Genomic DNA, 21,232 nt, shown 5'->3' with positions numbered 1-21,232 from the left:
GAGACAGGAGACAGACAGGCAGGGAATTCGCTAAGTTACTAAAGTGGAAATGGAAGAAACCTCCATCACGGTTTTAATCACGAATTTAAGTCATCATAATGGTGTATATTTATTGAATGGGTTTAGAAATTCTTTGTCTCAGAGATTGAAGGTTGAGACTTATTTTTAGATTTGTATAATCTTTGTTTTGCTTAAAACCCTATTCATAGGCATCTGTTATGGTTTATTTTACTTAGATGAGTTAATCTAAAATGTGCTTCTGAATTTCTGTGTATCTTAATTTGACACTTTAAGAAAACAAAATAAGTCATGCCTGAAATTTGGAGTAACACGTGTTGTATTTTTTATGTGACTTCAGCTTTATTTTCAAAAGTTCAGATTCAAATGTCAGCTTTTATATTTACGTGCTTATTGGTTTTGATTGAGTTATATAACCTGAGTCTCTTTTTAACAGCATTTTTCAACCAAGTCCTCTTATCTGAACCACAAAACAGAGAAGATAATTTGAGGGGGTATTTTCCCAATTCTCCTAAGGATGCCACATAACTAGCATAAGGCTTTGATGAGAAGTTAGTTTTTAATATATAACAGATGCCTTTGAGCACTCAGTCCTAATGTACTCATGGAATCCTGGTTAAGAAACGCTAATAGTTTAAAAAATAATTCCATCTTACATATTTTTTCCACTATTTCTATCATTAATTAAGAAAAAGTTTTGGTTTTGCAAGCTAGAAATGAGTACAGTCAACTAGCAATTTATTGTATTACTCGAAAAGGAGATTTCTATGAAGCTAAAATTAATTTCTCAAATACATACCTTCTGGATAAAGTATAATTTTATAACAGTAATGAAAAGGTAGGGCCAAAATCTGTTTTTACATGGGCTTATTCAAATCTATATTTGTGAAATTAAATTTATGAATACATTATGTTTGGGAAGAAGTCTTTTCCAGAGTTTTATAATATTTACTGACAAGGTACTTAAAAGTGGATACTAATTATTGTGCATGTCTATACATTTTTGCAATAAGTTGTGTTATCACTCAAAAGTGACCTTGTTAGTGAGGGGAAAGGCAAGAGAGATGTATAGTGCCTCTTGAGAGCAAGTGGAGTGATGCGTATCAGGAGAAGACACTAAAGATTTATTGTCTGTGGCAAAGGAAACACAGGTCTCTGCTTGTGCAGTAAGTGTTTTTGACATCACCCACAGTAAAGGGTGATTGGAGGCTATAGGTCAGAAAATGTTCTGCTGGGGCAAAATAAAAAACTTTTTTTTTAACACTATGAGTTTGTCTTGCTGTTTCATCTTTGTAGCACTTAAAATATGAATGATGGTCATGCCAAACCAATCCTTGTTGTGAATAGGACCTTGCTACCCAAATAATCAGATTTACCTCACTGAACTAACATGCAAGAACAGATTCAGTTATAAGAGGGGGTAGCAATACAAAGCAGAATAATTACTTTTTTCTTTCAATTTCATATTTTGCTTATGAAAACTTTATTTCCTGTTTACATGAACTAGCTTAAAAACTGATAAATGGTTCATTTAGCCTTAAATTTGAAGGAAAACTATTCTAATGGGAAGAACTGAAGAACTGCGAGTAGCTTATCTTAATGCCCTTAAAACAGCTTCGTCTGACTGAGAAGTAAGGACTTTGATTCATTTAATACAGCTGGGTTCCTATTTGCTTCTGGCCAAAAGAAGCAGGTAGCTTAAACACAGAAGAGATTCACAGCAATTTGGATTATTACCTACATGGGCATTTAAATCTTCAGTAAGAAAAGATAAAGCATGGTTTCCCTTCTGTTTTGTATGTTATCTAGAGCCTAAGGTTTTAGGATTAGTACCCTTAGCTCATAGGATATAAACTGTATGGTATATATTTTTCTATAACTTTAGGTAACAGCAACCATTCTAAACAAATAAATGTCTCCAATTAAAAACAAAAACAGGGAGAATTTGTTGGTTCATCACCTATTCGTGTTTTTCTTATAAATGTATTTTATTAAAAGTGTTTTGATTTTCTCGAATTGATACAATATAACTGTAGTGGGTACTATGATGTGCTACCAGATACCCCTGCAGGATGGAGACACTCATTCCCTCATGCCAGAAGAGTTGGCTACTGACAATTTGCAGTTGAGCCCCTCTTCAGGAAATTCCCCTCCACCCAAGATTACAGCCCCTGCCTGGGGCTGCCCATATTCAATGATTGATTGATGTGAGATTGCAATGGTTGGCCTCCTGCCCTAATTAAGAATAGCTTGAAAGGCCATTCCAGCTCCAGAGCTTACCCGGGATTGGCTGAGACCTCTGTTACCAATGTGACACAGTCCAAATTCTCCTTTTGCCAAATCCTACTGCATTTCACAGAAATGGGTTGTTTCTGAAAACTTACCTCATTAAACTTCTCACACACAAATCTTTGTCTTAGAGTTTGTTTGCAGAGGCACACGACCTAACTTAGTAACCCATGTTACTATCTTGGCATACCTAGATTCCAATTCCTGGTTGTACTTTTTACTAACCTTGTGCCTTGAAGCAAATTTTCAATCTTTCTAAACTTCCTTTTCTTCTTTTAAATATTTTAAATGGGGATCGTTATATAACAACACTTACCTCATGTGGTTGTTTGAAGATTAAATGAGATAATAAAGCATAAAGTTCAGTGACTAAAACTTGGAAGGTTTTTAATAAATATTTGTTATTATTAGTTTTACCATGCTTACAATTATAATTCAAAAATTTGTATCTCTATTTCTCTCTGTCACCTTCATCTTACATTTTACCATTTTACATCTTCTACTTTGAAAAAACTTACTTTCTCTGCTTTCAGCTTTTTTAAAAAAAAATTTAGGACCATTATTCAGTGAGCATATCTGGGGCATATATTTATTTGTAGGAACAAATATATTAAAGTAGGGCATATTGTGATGGCTAAAATACATTTGATTTAGATTCTAGTTGGTTTAATTTAGACCTTTCTGACTCTGTGGGGCTCCTTCATCCATTCTCATCATATCAGAGGTGGGATGACTAAATCTTCTAGAGAAAGATGTCAAATGAATACTATAAAAGAATTCTGAATGGCTGTGATACAAAGGTATCTAACAAAAGCTATGTATTTTGGTTTCAACTTGTATTGGAGCTCTCAAGTCAGAAAATATAAAATTTCTTTCAGCTTTATTTTATGTTATATAAACTCCCTGCTTTATTTTTTGTGAGATTTAGATACGTTAATACCTGTGAAACACTTAAAAGATTGCCTGGCATAGAGTAAATGCATAAGAACTATTTTAGCCATTGATAACAATACATAAACAATCAGTGAATTTCTTCTAATAAAATGATGTAAGATGAATGATGGTTGCAATGAAAATCTGAAAGCTGAAATTGAAATGGGAATTTTAAAGGATAAGATTATTCCAGGGTTAGGTTAGCTATTGCTAAATAACAAAACTTAGGGCATGTTCCTAAAAAAGAGATTTCCATACTAGATTTTTGTACATATTGCTTAACCTACTTAGTGTTCTTCTATTGGGCAAGAAATTGATGCATATTTGCTTTCTCACCATTGCCTTCAGTGAACAATTTTTTATATAAGAAATGTGGCAGAAAGGAAAAGGCACATCATACTCATTAGTTAAATAACTCTGGTATAGAAGAATCTATCTCCAGTAAAGCTGTTTGAAATCAACCCCAGATCATGAGTTAAATAATTCGGGTAATATTTTTAAAAACATGAATTTTTCTGCTTCAAATGCATTTATGCTTGATTTTAGAAAACTTAGAGTAGAAAATTGAAGTGTTGTTAGGCAATTACAAAACAACTCTGTAATTTTAATTAAATTTCTTTATCTTCCTGTTCGCAGGCGTCACTTTGTATGCTGAAAGCTCAAACTCTAGGGAGAAAACATTGGGGTAGAAAGGAGATTCAAAAGGGCAGAAGAGTCTGCCAGCAGTGGTGGACATGCTTAATGTATTTAAAAGATTAATGGGCTATTGAAATTAAAATTGCCAGCACAAAGCATGTTGTACCAAACTCACAAATATATGTGTACCAACCATATGGGCTACAGCTTAGACCAATGGCTTACTTTTATATTGTGACAAGCATAGTATAGGCAATTTTTTTTTATTGTGAATGCTGAAAAAAATACCTTTTATTTGTCACACAAATTAGAACTATACACAAGTATAAGAACTCATGTTCACATTTTTCCCCCAAGCAGTGCAGTACATCATGTTTTTGGTGTGGTGCCAGAATATGATATTGTAAAAATCTGAACATTTTTCTCCTACTACAGCAGTTTAAAATGGTCTTGTAATTTAATGGTTTTTAATAAGTATAACAGTAATAATTATTCCTATATATAATACAATATTTTAGTCACAATGGATAACAAAGTAGCAATACTTAATGTAATGTGTTACTTTTTCAGCATTATTTAAATTTTTCTGTAGGGGCTGAATTAGTTATAGAGAGCTTGGCATGAAAATGCAGAGGCATTTAGAGTACATTTAATAGACTTGAATTCTAGAGCTCTTGCCTCTTCTGCCTTTCTGTCACTGTTCTCTGCTTCACAAAGATATCCTCTAGAGTAAAATATTTTGTAATTTGTATGAGCAGCACTACCAATGATATTAGGCTTTGCAAAGCCTCTGGAAGGTTTTAATTAGCTTGATTCAAACTCAGGAATGAATGACACTCTGCCTTCAGACTTAGCAAGAGAACTTGCCATTTTGTTCAGTGTCCTTTCCTTTTCAACATCTTCATCTAAATGGTCAATAATTATGTTTATAATCAAACTCATGATAACTTTTGCAAAGTGTTGAAATATCCAGTTCCTAGAAATGAGGAATGGATAGGGCAGTCATTTATGATTAAAAACTAGATAAAGCAGTAACCAGACATCAAAATATTTCTTGTTTTTGCTTAAAAACAATTATTTAGTATTCTTAGGGGGTTTTATTTTTTATTTATTTTTTTTTTTATTATACTCTAAGTTTTAGGGTACATGTGCACATTGTGCAGGTTAGTTACATATGTATACATGTGCCATGCTGGTGCGCTGCACCCACTAATGTGTCATCTAGCATTAGGTATATCTCCCAATGCTATCCCTCCCCCCTCCCCCGACCCCACCACAGTCCCCAGAGTGTGATATTCCCCTTCCTGTGTCCATGTGATCTCATTGTTCAATTCCCACCTATGAGTGAGAATATGCGGTGTTTGGTTTTTTGTTCTTGCGATAGTTTACTGAGAATGATGGTTTCCAATTTCATCCATGTCCCTACAAAGGATATGAACTCATCATTTTTTATGGCTGCATAGTATTCCATGGTGTATATGTGCCACATTTTCTTAATCCAGTCTATCATTGTTGGACATTTGGGTTGGTTCCAAGTCTTTGCTATTGTGAATAGTGCCGCAATAAACATACGTGTGCATGTGTCTTTATAGCAGCATGATTTATACTCATTTGGGTATATACCCAGTAATGGGATGGCTGGGTCAAATGGTATTTCTAGTTCTAGATCCCTGAGGAATCGCCACACTGACTTCCACAATGGTTGAACTAGTTTACAGTCCCACCAACAGTGTAAAAGTGTTCCTATTTCTCCGCATCCTCTCCAGCACCTGTTGTTTCCTGACTTTTTAATGATTGCCATTCTAACTGGTGTGAGATGATATCTCATAGTGGTTTTGATTTGCATTTCTCTGATGGCCAGTGATGATGAGCATTTCTTCATGTGTTTTTTGGCTGCATAAATGTCTTCTTTTGAGAAGTGTCTGTTCATGTCCTTCGCCCACTTTTTGATGGGGTTGTTTGTTTTTTTCTTGTAAATTTGTTTGAGTTCATTGTAGATTCTGGATATTAGCCCTTTGTCAGATGAGTAGGTTGCGAAAATTTTCTCCCATGTTGTAGGTTGCCTGTTCACTCTGATGGTAGTTTCTTTTGCTGTGCAGAAGCTCTTTAGTTTAATTAGATCCCATTTGTCAATTTTGTCTTTTGTTGCCATTGCTTTTGGTGTTTTGGACATGAAGTCCTTGCCCACGCCTATGTCCTGAATGGTAATGCCTAGGTTTTCTTCTAGGGTTTTTATGGTTTTAGGTTTAACGTTTAAATCTTTAATCCATCTTGAATTGATTTTTGTATAAGGTGTAAGGAAGGGATCCAGTTTCAGCTTTCTACATATGGCTAGCCAGTTTTCCCAGCACCATTTATTAAATAGGGAATCCTTTCCCCATTGCTTGTTTTTCTCAGGTTTGTCAAAGATCAGATAGTTGTAGATATGCGGCATTATTTCTGAGGGCTCTGTTCTGTTCCATTGATCTATATCTCTGTTTTGGTACCAGTACCATGCTGTTTTGGTTACTGTAGCCTTGTAGTATAGTTTGAAGTCAGGTAGTGTGATGCCTCCAGCTTTGTTCTTTTGGCTTAGGATTGACTTGGCAATGCGGGCTCTTTTTTGGTTCCATATGAACTTTAAAGTAGTTTTTTCCAATTCTGTGAAGAAAGTCATTGGTAGCTTGATGGGGATGGCATTGAATCTGTAAATTACCTTGGGCAGTATGGCCATTTTCACGATATTGATTCTTCCTACCCATGAGCATGGAATGTTCTTCCATTTGTTTGTCTCCTCTTTTATTTCCTTGAGCAGTGGTTTGTAGTTCTCCTTGAAGAGGTCCTTCACATCCCTTGTAAGTTGGATTCCTAGGTATTTTATTCTCTTTGAAGCAATTGTGAATGGGAGTTCACCCATGATTTGGCTCTCTGTTTGTCTGTTGTTGGTGTATAAGAATGCTTGTGATTTTTGTACATTGATTTTGTATCCTGAGACTTTGCTGAAGTTGCTTATCAGCTTAAGGAGATTTTGGGCTGAGATGATGGGGTTTTCTAGATATACAATCATGTCGTCTGCAAACAGGGACAATTTGACTTCCTCTTTTCCTAATTGAATACCCTTTATTTCCTTCTCCTGCCTGATTGCCCTGGCCAGAACTTCCAACACTATGTTGAATAGGAGCGGTGAGAGAGGGCATCCCTGTCTTGTGCCGGTTTTCAAAGGGAATGCTTCCAGTTTTTGCCCATTCAGTATGATATTGGCTGTGGGTTTGTCATAGATAGCTCTTATTATTTTGAAATACGTCCCATCAATACCTAATTTATTGAGAGTTTTTAGCATGAAGGGTTGTTGAATTTTGTCAAAGGCTTTTTCTGCATCTATTGAGATAATCATGTGGTTTTTGTCTTTGTCTCTGTTTATATGCTGGATTACATTTATTGATTTGCGTATATTGAACCAGCCTTGCATCCCAGGGATGAAGCCCACTTGATCATGGTGGATAAGCTTTTTGATGTGCTGCTGGATTCGGTTTGCCAGTATTTTATTGAGGATTTTTGCATCAATGTTCATCAAGGATATTGGTCTAAAATTCTCTTTTTTGGTTGTGTCTCTGCCCGGCTTTGGTATCAGAATGATGCTGGCCTCATAAAATGAGTTAGGGAGGATTCCCTCTTTTTCTATTGATTGGAATAGTTTCAGAAGGAATGGTACCAGTTCCTCCATGTACCTCTGGTAGAATTCGGCTGTGAATCCATCTGGTCCTGGACTCTTTTTGGTTGGTAAACTATTGATTATTGCCACAATTTCAGAGCCTGTTATTGGTCTATTCAGAGATTCAACTTCTTCCTGGTTTAGTCTTGGGAGAGTGTATGTGTCGAGGAATGTATCCATTTCTTCTAGATTTTCTAGTTTATTTGCGTAGAGGTGTTTGTAGTATTCTCTGATGGTAGTTTGTATTTCTGTGGGATCGGTGGTGATATCCCCTTTATCATTTTTTATTGTGTCTATTTGATTCTTCTCTCTTTTTTTCTTTATTAGTCTTGCTAGCGGTCTATCAATTTTGTTGATCCTTTCAAAAAACCAGCTCCTGGATTCATTGATTTTTTGAAGGGTTTTTTGTGTCTCTATTTCCTTCAGTTCTGCTCTGATTTTAGTTATTTCTTGCCTTCTGCTAGCTTTTGAATGTGTTTGCTCTTGCTTTTCTAGTTCTTTTAATTGTGATGTTAGGGTGTCAATTTTGGATCTTTCCTGCTTTCTCTTGTAGGCATTTAGTGCTATAAATTTCCCTCTACACACTGCTTTGAATGCGTCCCAGAGATTCTGGTATGTGGTGTCTTTGTTCTCGTTGGTTTCAAAGAACATCTTTATTTCTGCCTTCATTTCGTTATGTACCCAGTAGTCATTCAGGAGCAGGTTGTTCAGTTTCCATGTAGTTGAGCGGCTTTGAGTGAGATTCTTAATCCTGAGTTCTAGTTTGATTGCACTGTGGTCTGAGAGATAGTTTGTTATAATTTCTGTTCTTTTACATTTGCTGAGGAGAGCTTTACTTCCAACTATGTGGTCAATTTTGGAATAGGTGTGGTGTGGTGCTGAAAAAAATGTATATTCTGTTGATTTGGGGTGGAGAGTTCTGTAGATGTCTATTAGGTCTGCTTGGTGCAGAGCTGAGTTCAATTCCTGGGTATCCTTGTTGACTTTCTGTCTCGTTGATCTGTCTAATGTTGACAGTGGGGTGTTAAAGTCTCCCATTATTAATGTGTGGGAGTCTAAGTCTCTTTGTAGGTCACTCAGGACTTGCTTTATGAATCTGGGTGCTCCTGTATTGGGTGCATAAATATTTAGGATAGTTAGCTCCTCTTGTTGAATTGATCCCTTTACCATTATGTAATGGCCTTCTTTGTCTCTTTTGATCTTTGTTGGTTTAAAGTCTGTTTTATCAGAGACTAGGATTGCAACCCCTGCCTTTTTTTGTTTTCCATTGGCTTGGTAGATCTTCCTCCATCCTTTTATTTTGAGCCTATGTGTGTCTCTGCACGTGAGATGGGTTTCCTGAATACAGCACACTGATGGGTCTTGACTCTTTATCCAACTTGCCAGTCTGTGTCTTTTAATTGCAGAATTTAGTCCATTTATATTTAAAGTTAATATTGTTATGTGTGAATTTGATCCTGTCATTATGATGTTAGCTGGTGATTTTGCTCATTAGTTGATGCAGTTTCTTCCTAGTCTCGATGGTCTTTACATTTTGGCATGATTTTGCAGCGGCTGGTACCGGTTGTTCCTTTCCATGTTTAGTGCTTCCTTCAGGAGCTCTTTTAGGGCAGGCCTGGTGGTGACAAAATCTCTCAACATTTGCTTGTCTATAAAGTATTTTATTTCTCCTTCACTTATGAAGCTTAGTTTGGCTGGATATGAAATTCTGGGTTGAAAATTCTTTTCTTTAAGAATGTTGTATATTGGCCCCCACTCTCTTCTGGCTTGTAGGGTTTCTGCCAAGAGATCCGCTGTTAGTCTGATGGGCTTTCCTTTGAGGGTAACCCGACCTTTCTCTCTGGCTGCCCTTAACATTTTTTCCTTCATTTCAACTTTGGTGAATCTGACAATTATGTGTCTTGGAGTTGCTCTTCTCGAGGAGTATCTTTGTGGCGTTCTCTGTATTTCCTGAATCTGAACGTTGGCCTGCCTTGCTAGATTGGGGAAGTTCTCCTGGATAATATCCTGCAGAGTGTTTTCCAACTTGGTTCCATTCTCCACATCACTTTCAGGTACACCAATCAGACGTAGATTTGGTCTTTTCACATAGTCCCATATTTCTTGGAGGCTTTGCTCATTTCTTTTTATTCTTTTTTCTCTAAACTTCCCTTCTCGCTTCATTTCATTCATTTCATCTTCCATCGCTGATACCCTTTCTTCCAGTTGATCGCATCGGCTCCTGAGGCTTCTGCATTCTTCACGTAGTTCTCGAGCCTTGGTTTTCAGCTCCATCAGCTCCTTTAAGCACTTCTCTGTATTGGTTATTCTAGTTATACATTCTTCTAAATTTTTTTCAAAGTTTTCAACTTCTTTGCCTTTGGTTTGAATGTCCTCCCGTAGCTCAGAGTAATTTGATCGTCTGAAGCCTTCTTCTCTCAGCTCGTCAAAATCATTCTCCATCCAGCTTTGTTCTGTTGCTGGTGAGGAACTGCGTTCCTTTGGAGGAGGAGAGGCGCTCTGCGTTTTAGAGTTTCCAGTTTTTCTGTTCTGTTTTTTCCCCATCTTTGTGGTTTTATCTACTTTTGGTCTTTGATGATGGTGATGTACAGATGGGTTTTCGGTGTAGATGTCCTTTCTGGTTGTTAGTTTTCCTTCTAACAGACAGGACCCTCAGCTGCAGGTCTGTTGGAATACCCTGCCGTGTGAGGTGTCAGTGTGCCCCTGCTGGGGGGTGCCTCCCAGTTAGGCTGCTCGGGGGTCAGGAGTCAGGGACCCACTTGAGGAGGCAGTCTGTCTGCCCGTTCTCAGATCTCCAGCTGCGTGCTGGGAGAACCACTGCTCTCTTCAAAGCTGTCAGACAGGGACACTTAAGTCTGCAGAGGTTACTGCTGTCTTTTTGTTTGTCTGTGCCCTGCCCCCAGAGGTGGAGCCTACAGAGGCAGGCAGGCCTCCTTGAGCTGTGGTGGGCTCCACCCAGTTCGAGCTTCCCGGCTGCTTTGTTTACCTAAGCAAGCCTGGGCAATGGCGGGCGCCCCTCCCCCAGCCTCGTTGCCGCCTTGCAGTTTGATCTCAGACTGCTGTGCTAGCAATCAGCGAGATTCCGTGGGCGTAGGACCCTCCGAGCCAGGTGTGGGATATAGTCTCGTGGTGCGCCGTTTCTTAAGCCGGTCTGAAAAGCGCAATATTCGGGTGGGAGTGACCCGATTTTCCAGGTGCGACCGTCACCCCTTTCTTTGACTCGGAAAGGGAACTCCCTGACCCCTTGCGCTTCCCAGGTGAGGCAATGCCTCGCCCTGCTTCGGCTCGTGCACGGTGCGCACACACACTGGCCTGCGCCCACTGTCTGGCACTCCCTAGTGAGATGAACCCGGTACCTCAGATGGAAATGCAGAAATCACCGTCTTCTGCGTCGCTCACGCTGGGAGCTGTAGACCGGAGCTGTTCCTATTCGGCCATCTTGGCTCCTCTCTTAGGGGGTTTTAAAAACACTATCACAGTGCTGGGTACATAATTGATGCTCAATATATACATAAGCATTCAAGTTGTTACCTTGTTAGTGACACATAACATTTTATGATTTATTTATTTCTAGTTTAGATAACGGAACAAATCTGTTTGAGTATGGTACTATATACCCTGATAGACAGTACCTCTCTCAGGGTAGATACAAATTGCAAATTAGAGTTGGGAAAAAGTGGCCCAAGCAAGTGGCACAAAAAGTCACTTGCAGATAAAAAGCTTTCTGTGAGTATGTTACAGTGAAACTTTCAATGAAGATATGTCCAAATGCAGTTAATCAGAAACCAGCCAAACTAGCCTAAACATTTATGGATATTACAAACATTCTTCCAAAAATTTTTTTTCTTCTGCTCAATTTTGTGCTGTTTTAAATGATTATATGTAATTAATTTTCAAGGAACTTAGTTGAGCCAAATGTGAATCTTTTGAGGTTTTCCTATTGCTAGCAATTGCTTCATTAAGAATATGAAATAGGCACCTGGTTTTTTTAATGCTACTGTTGAGAATACAGTGAATGAGTCCTATTTATAACTGAATTAAAAGCTTAATTAAGTTTATGAGTGTTTTAAAACTGTATAAAGTTAATGCTAATGTATTTATTAAAAGTAAAAATTATTAATACATTTTTCTTCTTTGCAACAAAGATTAAAATGAAAAATGCTTTAAAATGATTGAATGAATACATAATCAATTATCCATTGCTTGCTGACTTTCTGCCTAGCATTATACAAGTGATAGAAAAAAATAGAAAATATAAGTGTAGTTTTTACCATTGGTTAGTACAGTGGTAGAGTGTAGTACCTTTAGTGTGGTACTACTAGTGTAGTACCATTGTACTAGGTGGGAATGATTATAAGCACAAAAAAGGTGATTATAACCCATAGTGCAATTAATAATCAGAACTTAAAGTGAATTAGTTTAAATATTGTGCAGTAATTTTTAAATTAATTGTTTTCTAATTATTTCATGTGTTAGTCTTTTCTTCTTCCCTTTTACGTTTAATAAAGGATTTTTTTTATTTCTTTTGCATTATTTCCCAGTCCCTGAGACCAACTTGAATACTGTTGAAATATTTCACTAATTTCTCCCATCAGGAATTATACCTAAGCTTTTATGAGGACATAAATTACCTTGAAAGAAAAGGAAACTTTTGGAGAATTAGAAAAATGTGAGAATGTTTTGATTGTTCATTTAGGTTTTGGTTGTGAGATGAAGGAGAAAACTTGCATAGGAAGTACCTAAGCAGAGTTCTAATGCAGTGCAACCAGTTTTAGTGCTAGGTTGTGAAGGAGAATAGTAATGGTTTTGAAAGAGAGTAGCTAAGCTCTGATGACAGGAGGTCTGAAAATAAGACAGTTAAATAGCATTTTGTCATTTAAAAATTTATCTGAATAGAGATCAATTAAATATTCTGCAAATAAGAATGCAACTAATTATATCATTTGTAGTACTTGTGTAATAGTGATTAAAACATCTGAACCCTTTTAAAAAGTGGTATTGTACTGATAGTAAAAATAATGTGTAGTAACTCTCTGCATTGAGAACTATGAATAATATCTCAAAATTAGAATATATGACTCCTGGCTAGAGGTTGTACACTTGCTAAATCCTAATTAATTCCATTTTTTTACAACTTTGGAATGGAATCATAGTTTAAGGTGCTCTTTTGTTGGAACAGGCATTTATTGTTTCAGAAGAGAGATTCCACTGGGAGCGGAGTCATTTCCTTAGAGTACATTAGCCTAAGTGTCACTCTTTAACAAAGCTATGCAACAGCTGGACCACAATAGAAATTTACTATATTTTATTGCAATGAATGTGAAATATCAGTGTTCCTTCCAAACACAAGTAGCCAACAACGTACACACAAATGGGCAGAGCTAACCATTGCTAATTCATCTTAGATTTCCAAGTCCTTTGATTCAAGTATAAAAGTGTTTTAAAATTTCTTCACATTGCAATAGCTGTATCCAAAATAAATAAGACTTTCTTCTCACTATCCCACATGCCTTAGCCAGGCAATTATATTAATAAATGTCAGTGTACTATCTTGCACTTTGCTTCTTCTTCTTAATGTTTTGACTCAGGCTTCACCCTAGTTAAAGCTCCTTCTGGCATTTTCTCCAGTTTTATGGCTCCCTTTTTTTTTTCCAGTTCAGCTGGCCTTTGAGCTCCTCTTTTGATGTTCAGTATGTTTCTCTAGACAGTCTGGCCCCAACTCTTTGTCACTAATTTATTTTCGTATTGTGATCCATGATATACCCCCACAGGCTTTAAATAATTTCAAGAATGCTGTTTATAGTTGAGCAAATTATAACCTGCATAAAGGTGGAAAATGAGGGAGTAATGGAGAGGGTGGGGGTGGGGGGACTGCTGAAATCCAGCCTGGAGGAAAGGGTGCTTTTTCTAATTGGTCAATGGTAGTGCTTTAAAAAAAAAAAGTTGGGGGGCGATGACATGTAATTTTTAAACTCTCCACCTTTGTAGAGGTCATATACTTTAATTTTAAGGGCGTGTTACAAACCTATCAAATTTCTTAGCAAAGGCCAGCATTATTCAGTTGTTTTTTTTTTTTATACTTTAAGTTTTAGGGTACATGGGCACAACGTGCAGGTTAGTTACATATGTATACATGTGCCATGTTGGTGTGCTGCACCCATCAACTTGTCATTTAACATTAGGTATATCTCCTAATGCTATCCCTCCCAGTTTTCTTAACAGAAGGCCCAAAGTCAGTTCCTGAAAGCAGACAAGGTCTCTTTCCAATGACTAGTGTGTATCCTTCATGAAAGAACTGCTGAGTAGACAGTTTTTTTTTTTTTTTTGAAACTTGACTACTTGGAGGAGTTTTTTGTCCTAACATCTATTTTAAAGTTTTATTTAAAACAAGTCTATGTATTAAACTATTTTCCAGTTCAGATCTCTTAGACAGAAATAGTAGCAATGCATGGCGTTTCCTTAGTGTTTATCATATATCAGGCATTAAGCTTCATGCACATTCACATAATTCTCCTGGTAACCCTCTGGTAAGCTGCTATTACTTTCCATATTTTATAAATGATGAAAATAAGGTGAAAGAGTCAAAAGAGTCTTAAATGATAGGTTTGGTGTTTTTTTTTTTTTGTTGTTGTTGTTGTTTTAGACAGGGTCTTGCTCAGTCACCCAGGCTGGAGTATAGTGGCATGATCTTGGCTCATTGCAACCTCTGCCTCCCAGGTTCAAACGATTCCCATGCCTCAGCCTCCCAAGTAGCTGGGATTACAGTCATATCCAACCATGCCCGGCTAATTTTTGTATTTTTAGTACTCAGGGTTTTGCCATGTTGGCCAGGCTGGTCTTGAACTCCTGGCCTCAAGTGATTTGCCCACATTGCCCCCACAAAGTGCTGGGATTATATAGGCATAAGCCACTGCACACGGCCAGATTTGGTTTTAAAAGACAACCTACATTCTTGACAATTCCTGTCATCCTATTCAAAAGCATTGATGGTCATTTACTGATACTCTTGTCACAGAAACTCTATTTTATTGCTTTTTATATACACATTTTTATATGCTACAGCTTGTATGTGAGAAGAAAACTCAGAATTATGAATGGTTATTCATAGTTTCTAACAATAGAAACAATTGGCCAGGCGCGATGGCTCATGCCTGCAATCCCAGCACTTTGGGAGGCCGAGGCGGGCGGATCACGAGGTCAGGAGATCGAGACCATCTTCCCTAACACGGCGAAACCCCATCTCTACTAAAAATACAAAAACAAAATTAGCCGGGCGTGGTGTTGGGCGCCTGTAGTCCCAGCTATTCCGAAGGCTGAGGCGGGAGAATGGCGTGAACCCAGGAGGCGGAGCTTGCAGTGAGCCGAGATCGTGCCACTGCACCCCAGCCTGGGTGACAGAGTGAGACTCTGTCTCAAAAAAAAAAAAAAAAACAAACACACCAGGGCCTGTTGTGGGGTGGGGGGAGGGTGGAGGGATAGCATTAGGAGATATACCTAATGTTAAATGAAGAGTTAATGGGTGCAGCACACCAACATGGCACATGTATACATATGTAACAAACCTGCACGTTGTGCACATGTACCCTGAAACTTAAAGTATAATTTAAAAAATAATAAAATAAAACAAAACAAAACAAAAACCAAACCAATATCTTTCTTCCAACAATATGATTCAGTGGTGAGATTACAGTGGATAAAAGGTAACTTCAGATTTTTTCTGTGGAATGAGATGGGGTAAAGCATACAAATAACTAAGGTGGTATTGTTTTCTTTTTAAAATACAAAACAAATACCTATATATTAAAGACAAATTGCAAAAGTTTCTGAAGGACAGAGAAGAAATAATTGGCACCTGATCTTTTTTGTGAACCTGTTTTTTGAACAGAACCTGTTTTCTAAAACTTAGTTGAATCCATACAATATAAATACTGATTTCTATCCTACTTTTAAATTATGCCATTATTGGTTTTTATATTATGTAGTTTTCATGATAGCAGTCACCTGGCATCTTACCAAGCAGATTTACTATAGTCCACTTAACAGTCCTCTGTGTTAGGATATTCAATAGTTTTTCACCGTGGGAAGGCACCATTATAACTAATGCAGCAAGGATTACTTTTATTTTAAGTGGGGGTATTGTTAAGGAGAAAATAAATAGGCTTATGATGGAGAATTTGGAAGGAATATCTTTTTCCAAGAAAAATGTATCACTCCTTTATGCCACTAAGGAGTGATGAGCCACTTAAATAATTATGCAAGGGAATCCTTTCTGCAATGTAGTTGCTACCCTCCTGCTGCAATGCCTCCTTCACTAATCTAGTTCTCTGTAGACTGAATCACATGCTAATTTTTTTTTTTTTTTTTTTTTTTTTTTGAGATGGAGTTTTGCTCTTGTTGCCCAGGCTGGAATGCAATGGCATGATCTCAGTTCACTGCAACCTCTACTTCCCAGGTTCAAGCGATTCTCCTGCCTCAGCCTTCCGAGTAGCTGGGGTTACAGGCGCCCGCCATCATGCCCATCTAATTTTTGTATTTTTAGTAGAGACGGGGTTTCACCATGTTGACGAGGCTGGTCTGGAACTCCTGACCTCAGGCAATCCACCCGCCTCGCCTCCCAAAGTGCTGAGATTACAGGCATGAGCCACCACTCCTGGCCATCACATGCTAAATTTTTAACTCTTTTCTTGCTGCCACTCTTCAAGAAACAAACTTTACCATGGGATAGATACAGGCAAGATTATGAACCAAAATTAATGTTATTAATATTTTGCTTGTATTTAAAATTTAACAAAACATGCATGCTTAAGGCCTTGGTTCGTGGTGGGCATTCCAATTAGAGTATGGTAATATGACTTGGTCAAAAAAAAAAGAAAGAAAATATAATCTTCAGGATAACATATCAACAGTATACAATAAATTCAAATGTATATTAGTGTTATTTAACATGTAAGCATATATTATGTATGAGTGCCTTTATTCATCCGTTTATTTTCTTTAATATTCATTTAATTGACAATGTATTACCAGGCACTGTGAGAGATCAGTGAACAAGATATATCAAGTCTCTCTTTTTGTCGGGTTTACCTCTAGCTCAAGAGGCAGATAAAAAAAATCAGAATACCTATGAAATTTGAAATAATTTGAAGAGTGATATGAATGAGAATATCTGTAGGCGGCATATTTTGGTACATTAATGGGCAAATAATGATATCAGGTAGCAAGGGCTATAGAGAAAAAAATAAGGAAATAAAGAATGGTTGGGCAGAGTCAGTAGCTATTCAGATATACATGAATACTTGAGTGTGTTCTGACAGTTGCACAAATTAAATTATCCACATTTAGTATTATTTCTAAGGATATATCATTTATTTGAATACCATCTAAATTAATGCATTTGTGGCAAATAAATTAAATATGCTCATTTGCTTGAGAATTTCTATTGTTGATCTGGGAACAGACAGTGAGCTCTCACAGTTGCAGCTTTAACCTTGCCAATCACAGACTTCCTGTAAGTGCACTGCGTTATCTGGAACCTTTTCGGGGTTGGCGCTGGCATTCTTTTACTAGATTACATTTATGCATTAGTGCCATCTGTGCCTGCTGCACCTTCTGTGAGTTAGCCCTGGCCAAATGACTGGCATTTATCTGGAAGTTGGAGTGGGGGTGGGGTGTTTGGGGAGAAAGAGAGAGAGAGAGAGAGAGAGAGAGAGAGAGAGAAGAAGCGAGGAAATCCTAGAACATTTTACTCACTGTTGGCACAAGTGGAATTTAGGAAAGAAGACACATTGGTAAGCACAAAATATTTGCAGCTGGTGTCCCTGACTTAAACCCTTATAAAGCTAACTCTATTCATTTGCTCTCTCTTGAAAAATAAAATATAATACCTATTTATTTTTAGGCAATGATATGCAAAAGAAGCTAAAACCAAACATTTAAATAAGGAAGTACAACAAAGCACATTTGCAAGATTTTCAAGTTTGGCAAAATTATGTACACAATTTGAATATGTGTGCACTTATATGACAAATATACATAATGTGAGGTTTGGTTTAGTTGATTAGATTTGGTAGACCACTCGAATTGGACTTTGTATTGATAAATGGGCTGAAATGTAGATTTACTAATATTACAATTCTATTTAGGAAAATTATGGCTATATTCAACATATAATCAGGATACTAAATTATTCTGTAGAATCTTTCTGGGATTATATTATTTTAAATTGTATTGCAAAATAGATCAACAACTCTCATATCTATAATACACTTTAGAGCTGTAAGCGGAAATAAATAGATAAATAATTCTCCAATCAGTAAAAATAGATGTTGAAAAGTTTCAGCTCGTTTACACTATATCTATTTTTATCTTATACCTACTTTTAGTATGCTTGATTATCTGGTTTCCATACTGCTTCCAAATTAGAAACAGTGAAATAGAATTGGGGCAGAGGGGCTGCTAAAGATGGGTACTACACGTTAGTGGGAGGTAATAGTTGCAAGGAAAAGAAGGAGAGAATGAGAGGACAGACACATGACTCAGACAAGCACTGCAGTATGGGGCCATTCAGTGCAAGAAGAAACAGCTTCTTATTCCCCAGTATGCCCTGACAGCACTGATGGACCACATCCTGATAATCAACGTTCATAATTATAAAACTTTATCTTCAGCATGAAAGCATGTGCAGACAACACATTTTAGGAAGATGGAAATGTGAATATGTTCTTGAAAAGAATTCCATCCAAAATGAAAAATATATACTTTTAGAACTTAATGTAGTTAATCCACAGCTTTCCTTGAGTACTAGCTTGTGTTGTACTGTAGGTTTTAGGGATCAGAGTTCACTTTCTACGGTCTAAAATAGGTAAGGCCTCTCTTATATAAGTTCTCCTAATATATCTTATATTCATCTTCATAATACATTTCAGATTTAAATTGTAATGTATTTAATTTCTGTAATAAAGGTAGGCTTTTTTCTGTTTTCATTTGATAATATTTTATTATCTCTAATATAGTTTTAAAAGAACTATACAAGTATCCAAGACATAGAAATTCATTAGTGCTATAGTGATTATGATTATGGGTGTTGGAGGTTGATTCTTCTGTGTGCAAATCTTGGTCCTGCCACTTACTTGCTAGGAAGATTTGAGTAAATGACTTGCCCACTCTGAGCATCAGTTTCCTCATCTATAAATTCAGTATAATAGTACTTGTCACAGGACCGTTGTAATGATTAAATGGTTCCAGAGCTTATAAAGCATTTAGAGAAGCACTTGGGGTATAAAAAGAACTACATTGTATGATGGTTAGTCATTTTTATTATTGCTCTTGTTGTCGGAAAACTATTATATACATGTGGAACTTAGAAGGTTATAGTTCAAATTATACTTTAAAAGATGTTTGTAACTGGTTTCCCTGCTTTACTTTTTTTTGTATATTTGCATATATATCAGTTTGGAAAGGTCTTCAGAATCACAACAGTATTGTTCTGTTAGCTGTAGGGGAAAAGATGCCATAACGTAAAATGCCTGGGGGCCTATCTCAGCTGAGAATCTTGTCCTTGCATCAACATTAAGAACAGCTAGCCACAACTTTATTCTTTCTCCTCTTTCACTGACAACACTCAGAATATTTACTTTTGTTGTTGTTGTTGTTGTTGATACTGAGTCTCGCTCTGTTGCCCAGCCTGGAGTGCAGTGGCGCAATTTTGGCTCACTGCAACTTCCACCTCCCAGGTTCAAGCAATTCTCTGCCTCAGCCTCCAGAGTAGCTGGGATTACAGGCATCTGCCACCACGCCCGGCTAATTTTTATATTTTTAGTAGAGATGGGGTTTTGCCATCTTGGCCAGGCTGGTCTTGAACTCCTGACCTAGTGATTCACCCGCCTTGTCCTCCCAAAGTGCTGGGATTACAGGGGTGAGCCACTGCGCCTGCCCTCCCAACACGCCTTTTTAAAATTTATTTTTATTTTTTTATATTTTATGGCCAAGTCTGTGAGCCCAGTAGTGGTCATCTATTTCCACCAGAAATTGTAGGCAATAGACAGGGAGACCCGTATTATGGCCAACTTAAACGACTGAGAGAAGAGGGCTGGTGAGAAAACAGCAATTCTTTTGCCCCGCACTCTAAATTATTAGGATAATTGTACCCTGAAATACTTCTTCTCCAATTATTACATAGAGCTAAGATTTTGTTGGACTCTGTTAACCATTCTCTTGGGATTAGGATAATGATGTTTCTAAAATATAATTTTGAGTTACACTTGAGTTTTGAAATGTCAGGTATTTTCTTGGCTTTATGCCTTGCAAATATATGTATATATAAAGCACTAATTTCTTTGTACATGCCCTAATTGGTTTTGTTAGATTAAAATGAATTGACCACATGATAATTATAATAACTATATTTATAGATAACCATGCATTAGTAATTTATAAAAAAGATTGTCATAACTTTTAAAAGAATTTAGTAAATGTTTTTTTATTCAAACACAAATCTTTCATACTATTCTTATTACTGGCATATAGATTTTTTAAAATTTGTATATATCTGGAATGTACCTTATTACTCCATTTTATGAATTATGATAATTTTTCAGTTGATTTTTAAAATGCTATAAATAATGACAATATTTTTACTATGGTAAAACATGTATAACATAAGACTTACGATTTGAATAATTTTTAAATATACGATTCAGTAGCATTAAATATATTCACATTGCTGTGCATCTGTCACCACTATCCAACTCTCTTTTTCATTATCCCAGACTGAAACTCCCTACCCATTAAACAATAATTCCCAATTCTGTCCTTCCCCTAATTCCCAGTAACCACTATTTTATTCTGTCTCTATGAATTTGAATGTTTTAGGCAACACATATAAGTGGGATCATACAATATTTGTCCTTTTGTGTCTGGCTTATTTCACCTGCCATAGTGCCTTATGGTTCATTCATGTTGTAACATGTATCTAAATTTCGTTTCTTTTTCAGACTGAATAATACTTCATTGTATGTATATGACACATTTTATCTATTAGTCCATGGAGAGACACTTGAATTGTTTCTACTTTTTGGCAGTTATGAGTAATGCTTCTATGAATATGGGTGTACAAATATCTGTTTGAGTCCCTGCTTTCAGCTCTTTTAGGTGTATACACAGAAGTGGGATTACTGGATCATGTAGTAATTCTATGTTTAATTTTTTGAGGAACTACCATTCTGTGTTCCACAATGGCTACACCATTTTACATTTCCACCAGCAATGCATGAGGATTTCAGTCTTTCCACACTCCTGCCAACACTTGTTATTTTCTTTATTTTTTTCTTGTTCTTTTGAATAGTAGCCATCCTAATAGGTGCGAAGTATGATAATGGCAGTTCTTTTCAGCTTCTACTTTTTTGTATCTGTAAACAGGTCATATGCATTTTTAAAATTGTATTTTATTGCATATATTTAAGGTATACAACATAATGTTTTAATATACACATACAGACAGTCCTTCTTATCTGTGGGTTCCACATTCTCAGATTCAATCAACCAAATAATACTATAACGATAAAAATAATACAAATTTCTAAAATATAGTATAAAGTATTTGCATAGCATTTACATTGTATTAGACACTATAAGTGATCTAGAGATTATTTAAAGTATACAGGAATA

The 21,232-nt window shown here is 36.7% G+C and overlaps 1 protein-coding gene across 3 annotated transcripts in view, besides 1 other annotated feature; it reads left to right on the top strand.

Moving 5' to 3' along the window:
- The window catches only part of ANTXR2 (ANTXR cell adhesion molecule 2), a 172,327-nt gene that overhangs the window by 124,739 nt on the left and 26,356 nt on the right, over window positions 1-21,232 (top strand). The gene's annotated exons all lie outside the window — the stretch shown is intronic.
- Window positions 10,130-10,737: an enhancer, noted in NCBI's record as "OCT4-H3K27ac-H3K4me1 hESC enhancer chr4:80859151-80859758 (GRCh37/hg19 assembly coordinates)". NCBI's record gives its function as "activates a minimal SCP1, AML or CMV promoter by ChIP-STARR-seq in naive H9 embryonic stem cells {active_cell/tissue: H9 hESC(naive)}" and the evidence as "EXISTENCE:reporter gene assay evidence [ECO:0000049][PMID:30033119]".

The sequence above is a fragment of the Homo sapiens genome, chromosome 4 (assembly GCF_000001405.40).
Source record: "Homo sapiens chromosome 4, GRCh38.p14 Primary Assembly".
In the NCBI taxonomy this organism is placed as follows: Eukaryota; Metazoa; Chordata; class Mammalia; order Primates; family Hominidae; genus Homo; species Homo sapiens.
This window is presented reverse-complemented; position numbering and strand designations above follow the sequence as displayed.